General features: G+C 42.4%; 1 annotated feature.

The window, feature by feature from the left end:
• Positions 4,520–4,569: an enhancer, noted in NCBI's record as "active region_21676". NCBI's record gives its function as "activates an Ori minimal core promoter by ATAC-STARR-seq in GM12878 lymphoblastoid cells {active_cell/tissue: GM12878}" and the evidence as "EXISTENCE:reporter gene assay evidence [ECO:0000049][PMID:35858748]".

The raw sequence follows: 9,581 nt of genomic DNA, 5'->3' as shown, positions 1-9,581 counted from the left end.
CTCTTTGCTGACATAAATGTAGTCCAAACCTTATTACCTCTTTGGCAAATCATGTTCATACCCTCTAAACTAACCTTCCTGCCTCTAGAAACTCCAGCTTCCCTTGCCTTCTCTCCAGTCCATCCTATACACTGTGTACCATGAGTTAAATTGTGAATTTTTTGTTCTTTTCTTTTTCTTTTTCTTTCTTTCTGTTTTTTTTTTTTTTTTTTTTTTTTTTTTTTTTTTTTTTGAGACATAGTTTCGCTCTTGTTGCCCAGGCTGGAGTGCAATGGCGTGATCTCTGCTCACTGCAACCTCCACCTCCCGGGTTCAAGCAATTCTCCTGCCTCAGCCTCCTGAGTAGCTGGGAATACAGGCATGTGCCACCACCCCAGTTAATTTTGTATTTTTGGTACAGACACGGTTTCTCCATGTTGGTCAGGCTGGTCTTGAACTCCTGACCTCAGGTGATCCACCTGCCTCGGCCTCCCAAAGTGCTGGGATTACAGGCATGAGCCACTGCGCCCAGCCAAATTGTGAATTTTCTAAAACAAACAGACCCCAGTATTTTCCTTGGTTCTTCACAGTGTAGCCTCATTTTACCTCTTTAGCCCACTCTCCTGCCAATTCTTCACTCATAAAATTCCCAATCTTCCCTGCCTTCAACATACATACTTTTTTAAAATTTCAAATTCCAATTGTTCATTGCTGGTATATAGGAAAGCAATTGACTTTTGTACATTAACCTTATATCCTGTGACCTTGCCATAACTGCTTATTAGTTTCAGGAGACTTTTTGTATGTGTTTCTATATAGACAATCATGTTGACTGTGAACAAAGACAGTTTTATTCCTCCTTCCCAATCTGTATAAAGCTACATTTCCTTATCTGGTCTTATTAGCTAGGATTCTGGTATGATATTAAATAGGAACATGAGAGTAAACATCTTTGCCTTGTTCCTGACCTAGGGGAAAATCATATAGTCTCTCATCATTAAGTATGATGTAGGTTTTTTGTAGATATTCTGTATATGATTGATGAAGATCCCCTCTATTTCAAGTATACTGAGCATTTTTTTTTTTTTTGAAATGGAGTCTTGCTCTGTCGCCCGGGCTGGAGGGCAGTGGCGCGGTCTCAGCTCACTGCAAGCTCTGCCTCCCAGGTTCACGTCATTCTCCTGCCTCAGCCTCCTGAGTAGCTGGGACTACAGGCGCCTGCCACCACGCCCGGCTAATTTTTTTGTATTTTTAGTAGAGACGGGGTTTCACTGTGTTAGCCAGGATGGTCTTGATCTCCTGACCTCGTGATCCACTCACCTTGGCCTCCCAAAGGGCTGGGATTACAGGCGTGAGCCACCGCACCCAGCCTTTTTTTTTTTTTTTTTTAATTAGAGACGGGGTCTTGTTTTGTTGCCCAGGCTGGTCTCAAACTCCCGAGCTCAAGTGATCCTCCTGCCTTGGCCTCCAAAAGTGCTGGGATTACATGCATACCTGGCCTACTGAGCATTTTTATCTTGAATGAGTGTTGGATTTTGTCAAATGCTTTTTCTGTACCTATTAATACAATCATGATTTTTTCCTCTTTAGTATGTTGATATGATGGGTTACATTAATTGATTTTCAAATGTTGAATCAGTCTTGCATACCTGGAATAAATCCCACTTGGTCATAATATATCATTCTTTTTACACATTATTGCATTTGATTTGCTAATATTTTGTTAAGGATTTTTGCATCTATGTTTATGAGAGACTGTAGTTTTCCCTTTCTTGTCATGTCTTTATCTGATTTTAGTATTAGAGTAATGCTGGTCTCCTAGAGTCAGTTAGGGTGTGTTCCCTTAGCTTCTATTTTTTTGGAAGCTATTGTAGAGAATTGGTATGATTTCTTTCTTAGAAAAAAAATTTTAAGGAAATATTTCTGGGTCAAAGATTTATTTCTTAAATGTTTGATCAATCATCAGTGAACCCATCTAAGCCTGGTGCTTTCTATTATAGAAGGTTATTAGTTATTGATTTAGTTTAACAGGTATAGGCCTATTCAAATTTTCTATTTCTCCTTGTGTGAGTTATGGAACACTATTCCTTTCAAAGAACTGGCCCATTGCATGGGTTTGGGCCATAATCCCAAAAGACACAATCTTGAATGTTATAATCCCAAATGATGAAATCCTGAAAGATCAAAATCCCTGAAGTCCAAAATCCCCAAAATTCCAATCCCAAATGATTAAAATCCTGAAAATATAATTCTTGACAAAATAATTTTAAAAATTCTTTAAAATTCTTTATTTATATTTTTTAAAGGAGATTTGAGAAACATAAAAACACAACAGAGCACTTCATAGACCATTTTAGACAATAAAACAGGAAATAATAACATACTTTTTTTATTTTTATTTTTTATTGAGACAGGGTCTCACTTTGTCACCCAGGCTGGAGTGCAGTGGTACAATCTCAGCTCACTCCAACCTCCGCCTCCTGGGCTCAAGTGTTAATTTTTGTATTTTTACTACAGACAGGGTTTCACTATGTTGGCCAGGCAGGTCTCCAACTCCTAACCTCAAGTGATCCGCCCACTTCAGCCTCTCAAAGTCAGGGATTACAGGTGTGAGCCACTGTGCCCGGCCTCCTCAGTCCATTTTTAATACTGAAGGTATAAATTGTATAAAGATGTTTAGAAAGTTCTAATTCATTTTATGCATTTTTGCAAATTTGACTCCATGAAAGTGCATTATCACGAAGCTGAATTTGTGTAAGCATTGTGCATGTATGTAAAAACATTGCAACTTCCTCAATAAAATATCTTCTTTTTGTACATCCATATTTGTGAAAGATAAAATATTTTGAGATCTTGGCTTTTTGGGCAACTGCATGTGTGGTGGTAACTCACTGCGGATTTTTATTGATTTTGTCAAAAGACTTATATTGTCCATCTTGGTATTTCAGATGACCACAGTTATAAAGTTGAGTGCACACAATTACCAATCATATATGTTAATACATTTTACTTTTTGGCCTATTTCTTTATGAATACAGTTCATCTACTCATAACTCTTATACTTATGAGACTGTTGTTAGGATACCTGAATGTTTATGCTTGCAAAGATACGTGTATTATTGGCCGGGTGTGGTGTGGCTCATACCTGTAATTATAGCACTTTGGGAGGTCGAGGTGGGAGGATCACTTGAACCCAGGAGTTAGGGACTAACCTGGGCAATATAAAATAAATATATTGTAGAGTTGAGGCCTACGGGGCTTAGCAGGTGTTCTCGCCATGTACGGAGATGAGAGATTGTAATAAATAAAGACACAGGACAAAGAGATAAAGAGAAAACAGCTGGGCCCAGGGGACCACTACCATTAAGACACGGAGACAGGTAGTGGTCCCGAATGGCTGGGCACGCTGATATTTATTGCATACAAGACCAGGGGGCAGGGTAAGGAGGGTGAATCTTCTAAGTGATTGACAAGTTGAAGCAAGTCATGTGATCATAGGACAGGGGGCCCTTCCCTTTTAGGTAGCTGAAGCAGAGAGAAGGTGGCATACATCAGCGTTTTCTTCTATGCACTTATAAGAAAGGTCAAAGACTTTAAGCCTTTCACTATTTCTTCTACCGTTATCTACTACGAACTTCAAAGAGGAACCAGGAGTGCTGGAGGAGCATGAAAGTGGACAAGGAGCGTGACCACTGAAGCACAGCACCACAGGGAGGGGTTTAGGCCTCCGGATAACTGTGGGCAGGCCTGGATAACATCCAGCCTCCCACAAGAAGCTGGTGGAGCAGAGTGTTCCCTGACTCCACCAAGGAAAGGAGACTCCCTTTTGCGGTCTGCTACGTCGTGGGTGTCTTCCCAGACACTGGCATTACCGCTTGACCAAGGAGCCCTCAAGCGGCCCTTATGCGGGCGTGACAGAAGGCTCAGCTCTTGCCTTCTAGGTAACTTGTCACAATGTGCTTTCAGCACCTGACCCTATACCCGCTGGTTATTCCTAGGTTATATTAGTAATGCAACAAAGAGTAATATTAAAAGCTAATGATTAATAATGTTTATAATAATGATTGATAATTGTCCACGATCATCTCTATATCTAATTTGTATTATGACTATTCTTATTCTATTTTCTTTATTATACTGAAACAGTTTGTGCCTTTAGTCTCTTGCCTCGGCACCTAGGTAATCCTTCGCCCACAATATATAATAATTAAAAAAATTAAATTTAGCTGTTCATGGTAGCACCTGTAGTCCCAGCTACTCAGGAGTCTGAGGCAGGAGAATCGCTTGAACCTGGAGGCGGAGGCTGCAGTGAGCCGAGATCGTGCCATTGCACTCCAGCCTGGGTGACAGAGCAAGACTCCGTCTCCAAAAAAAAAAAAAAAAAAATGAGGAGACAGAGAAAAATGGAGGAATAGAAGACTGCAGCTATCATCCCCCTCCACAAGGACACCAATTTAACAACTTCATGAGGTGTTAAAAATCAGGTGAGCACTCATAGTACCTGCTCTTAACTTTATAATGCTGAAAGAGACACCGAAGAAATAGCAAAAACAGTCCTGAATCACTGACGCCCCTCTGCCCCTGCAGCTGTGTTGTGGTACTGAGGATATCTCTGCGTGCACGGGAGGGAGAACACAGCAACTGTGATGCACTGAACTCAGTGCTGTCCTGTTACGGCAGGAAGGAAAACCACACCCAACTCAGCTGACGCCTGCCCATGGAGGGAGCATTTAATAACAGCCCTACCCAGAGGGGAATCACTGATCCCAGTGGTCTAAACTTGAGTTCCTGCAAACCTCACCACCGAGGGCTACAGTCTGGGTCTCCAAGTAAACTTGAAAGGCAGCCCAGGCCATGAAGACTGCAGATCTCAGGCGAGTTCTAGTGCTGAACTAGGCCCAGAGGCAGTTAACTGGGAGGGCAGGTGACATACTGAGACACCAGCTAAGGCAGCCAAGGGCGTGCTGGCGTCACCCCTTCCCTAACTCCAGGCTGCACAGCCCGTGGCTCCAAAGGAGACCCTTTCCTTCTGCTTGTGGAGAGGAGAAAGAAGAGTGGGGAGGACTTCATCTTGCATCTTGGATACCAGTTCAGCTGCGGCAGAATAGGGGACTGGGAAGAGTCGTGAGGCCCCCATTCCAGGCCCTAGTTCCCAGATGACATTTCTAGACACACCATGGGTCAGAAGGAAACCCACTACCTTGAAGAAAAGGACTCAGTCCTGGCAGCATTCATCACCTGCTAACTGAAGGTTGGCAGGACCCTGAATAACCAGCAGTTACATTTAGGTACTATGTCAAGGCCCTTGGTTGAGCCTCTGAGACTTGCTGGCTTCAGGTGAGACTCAGCACATTACTAGCTGTGGTGGCAACAAGGCAAAACTCCTTCTGTTTGAGAAAAGCAGAAGGAAAAGTAAAGAGGGCTTTGTCTTGCACCTTAGGTACCAGCACAGCCACAGTGGGGTAAAGCACCAAGTGGGCTCTTGAGGTCTCCGATTCCAGGACTTGACTGTTGGACACCATTTCTGCACCTGCCCCAGGCCAGAGGGGAACCCATTGCCCTGAAGGGCGAGTCCCAAGGCAGGAAGCATTCAACACAAGCTTGACTTAAGATACCTCGATGCTTAAGGGAATATTGGAGGTAGCCTGGCAGTACTCCTCGTGGCCTGGGTTGACAGTGGCTATGGGGTGAGGCTCCTCTGCATTTGGGAAGGGAAAGGAAGAGTGGGAAGGACTGCATCTGGTGGTCTGAATACCAGCTCAGCCACAGTACAATAGAACACCAGCTAGACTTCCAAGTTTTTTTACTCTAGTCCCTGATTCCCAAAAGGCACCTCTGGACTCACCTGGGGCCTGGGGGACCTCACGGCTCTGAAGGGAAGGACACAGGCCTGGCCGGCTTTGCCACCAGCTAATTGTAGAGCCCCAGGGCCTTCAGCAAACATAGGCAGTAGCCAGGAAGTGGTTACAGCCAGCCTTGGCAAGCCCCACTGCTGTGCTGGCTTCAGGTCTGACCCAATGCAGTCATAGTGGTGGTGGCCACAGGGATGCTTGTGTCACTCCACCGCCGGCTTTATGTGGCTCAGAACAAGGAGAGTGAGACTCTTTTTGCTTGGAAGAAAGTAACAGAATGGAACAGGAGTCTCTCTGCCTGATAATGCAGAGAATTCTTCTGGATCTTTTCCAAGACCATCAAGGTAGTACCTCCATGAGTCTGCAAGAAAACAGTGTTACTGGGATTGGGGTGCTCTCTAAATCAGATACAGCTTACATCACAATATCCAAGTACTTTCAAATATCTGGAAAGCCTTTCTAAGAGGGATGGGTACAAATAAGCCTAGACAGTGAAGACTACAATAAATACTTCACTCTTCAATGCCCAGACACTGAAGAACATTTACTAACATCAACACCATCCAGGAAAACATGACCTCCCAAATGAACTAAATGAGCCACCAGGGACCAATCCTGGAGAAACAGAGATGTGTGACCTTTCAGGCAGAGAATTCAAAATAGCTGTGTTGAGGAAACTCAAGAAATTCAAGATAACACAGAGAAGGAATTCAAAATTATATCAGATACATTTAACAAAAAGATTAAAATAAAAAGAATCAAACTGAGATTCCAGAGCTAAAAATGCAATTGGCATACTGAACAATGCATTAGAGGCTTTCAGTAGCAGAATTGATCAAGCAGAAGAAAGAATTAGTGAGCCTGAAGACAGGCTATTTGAAAATACACAGTCAGGGCCAGTCATGGTGGCTCATGCCTGTAATCACAGCATTTCAGGAGGTCGAGGCAGAAGGATCACTTGAGCCCAGGAGTTTGAGTCTAGCCTAGACAATGTAGTGAGACCCCCCCCCTCCTTAAAAAAATAAAAAAGGCCAGGCGCAGTGGCTCATGCCTATAATCCCAGCACTTTGGGGAGGCCAAGGCAGGTGGATCACCTGAGGTTGGGAGTTCGAGACCAGCTTGACCAAGATGGAGAAACCCTATCTCTACTAAAAATACAAAATTAGCCGGGTATGGTGGCACATGTCTGTAATCCCAGCTACTTGGGAGGCTGAGGCAGGAGAATAGCTTGAACCTGGGAGGCGGAGGTTGCAGTGAGCCAAGATCATACCACTGCACTCCACCCTGGGCAACAGAGCCAGGCTCCATCTCAAAACAAAACAAAACAAAAAAAAGAGCTAAAGAGAGAGTTAGGCCCCAATACAATAATAGCTGGAGACTTCGACACCCCACTTTCAGCACTGGATGGATCTTCCAGGCAGAAAAATCAATAAAGAAACATCAGACTTAATCTGCACAATAGACCAAATGGATCCAGTAGATAATTACGGAACATTTCATCCAATGGCTGTGGAATACACATGCTTTTCCTCAGCATATGGATCATTCTCAAGGATGGATCATTTTAATAAGAAATTTAAAAATTTCTTGGAACAAATGCTAATGGGAGCACAACATACCAAAATCTATGGGATACAGCAAAAGCAGTACTAAGAGGGAAGCTTATCGTTATAGTGCCTACATCAAAAAAGAGGGAAACTTATAGTGCCTACATTAAATAAACAATCTAATGATGCATCTTAAAGAATTAGGAAAACAAGAGCAAACCAAATCCAAAATTAGTAGAAGAAATAATAAAGATCAGAACAGAAATAAATGAAATTAAAATGAAGTAAACAATACAAAAATCAATGAAACAAAAAGTTGGTTTTTTGAAAAGTTAAGCAAAATTGACAAGCTTTTAGCCAGACTAAGAAAAAAAGAGAGATCTAAATTTACCTTCAGTATTGAAAATAATGCGAAGATGAAATACATAGCATATCGAGTTGGCATTATGTGTAAAGGGGCAGAAGCCATACATGATTAAATAATTTGGCATAAGAGATTTCTTGTATTTTTGGCCTGTGTTTTCACTTCTATGATCTTCAAAACACTCACAGTACTTGTATTTGGGGAGTGGTTGTGGTCTACAAATTTCGTAAGTACCTGCTGTCCATCTGAAAGTCTGGTTATTTCTCAGCCATTGCAATTAGGTGATTTTCTACGTTTGCAGCACGAATAACAATTAACTTTTAAACTGTTTCACTGTTAAGTAGCCTCATACACTTAACACAGCCTTTTTGCAAGGGAACAATTTCACAGATCTCTTCCATTGTGTGGTAAGCAATACAGTAAGAAGAAATGATGTTCAGCTTCCCCAATACCAAATCTGTATTAGTCAGGGTTCTCTAGAGAGACAGAACCAATAGGATATGAGAGGAAATTTATTAGGGAACTTGGCTCATGCAATTATGGTGGCTGAAAAGACCCACGGTGAGGCCATCCGAAAGCTGGAGACCTTGGGATACCGGTAGCATGGTTCAGTCCAACTCCAAAGGCCTCAGAACCAGGAAAGCTGATGGTGCAACTATCCATCTGAGGCCAAAAGCCTCAGGATCCAGGGGGCCACTGGTGTAAGTTCCGGAGTCCGAAGGCTGGCAAACCTGGAGTTCTGGGTCCAAGACAGGAGAAGAAAAGTCTGTCCCAGATCTCAGAGAGAGACCAATTTGCCTTCTATATTTGTTCTGTTTGGGACCCTGGTCAAGTAGTTGGTGCCTCCCAACAATGAGGGCAGATCATCCCCCACTTAGTCCACTCAGACTCACATTCTAATCTCTGAAAACACTCTCACAGCCACATCCAAAATAATGCTTTACCAGGTTTCTAGGTATTCCTTAATCCATTCAAGTTGACACCTAAAATTATGTCCACTGTCCACCCCTTGTCAATTTGGCACTCATTTGCATCCCCTTAAATCACACTTAATTTCCAAATAAAGACAAAAAGGCTATGGTTCTGCTTGACATGACACAACTAACATGATGCAACCATCCTGTGTACAACCAAAAAATACACTAATCCCCTTCCCCAGAATTTGGCTTTCAGGGTTTCAACATTGAGGATTTTAATCTTTTGGGATTGTAATTTTCAGGATTTTAGACATGAGGGATTTAGACTTTAGAAATTTTGAACTTTAAGGATTTTGATCTTTTGGGACATCAACATTTGGGGTTTGGCATTCAGGATTGTGTCTTTCAGGATTATGATTATGAGGCAGAATTGCTTGAACCCGGGAGGCAGAGGTTGCAGTGAGCCAAGATCACACCACTGCACTCCAGCCTGGGTGACAAGAGCAAAACTCTGTCTCAAAAAGAAAAAAATTCCATTGTTGTCTGAGAACATACAGTGTATAATTTCTATTCTTTTACATTTTGAGGTGTGTTTTATGGCCCAGGTTGGTCTACCTCAGTGAACGCTCCAAGTGAGCTGACAAGAGTGAGTACTCTGTTGTTGCAGGACGAAGCAGTCTATGGATGTCAATTATATTCAGTTGATTGGTGGTGCTGTTGAGTACAACAATGTCCTTACTGATTTTCTACTTACTGGATCTGTCCTTTGCTGATAGGCATTGAAGTTGAGATCTCCAACTATAATAGTGGATTCATCTATTTCTCCTTGCAGTTTTATCAGTTTCTGCCTCATGTATTTTTTGATACTCTTGCTGACACTCTGATTTTATTTTATTTTATTTTATTTATTTATTTTGAGACG

This window comes from Homo sapiens, chromosome 4, assembly GCF_000001405.40.
Source record: "Homo sapiens chromosome 4, GRCh38.p14 Primary Assembly".
Lineage (NCBI taxonomy): Eukaryota > Metazoa > Chordata > Mammalia > Primates > Hominidae > Homo > Homo sapiens.
Note: the sequence above shows the minus strand (reverse complement) of the source record. Positions and strands in the feature narration are given on the sequence as shown.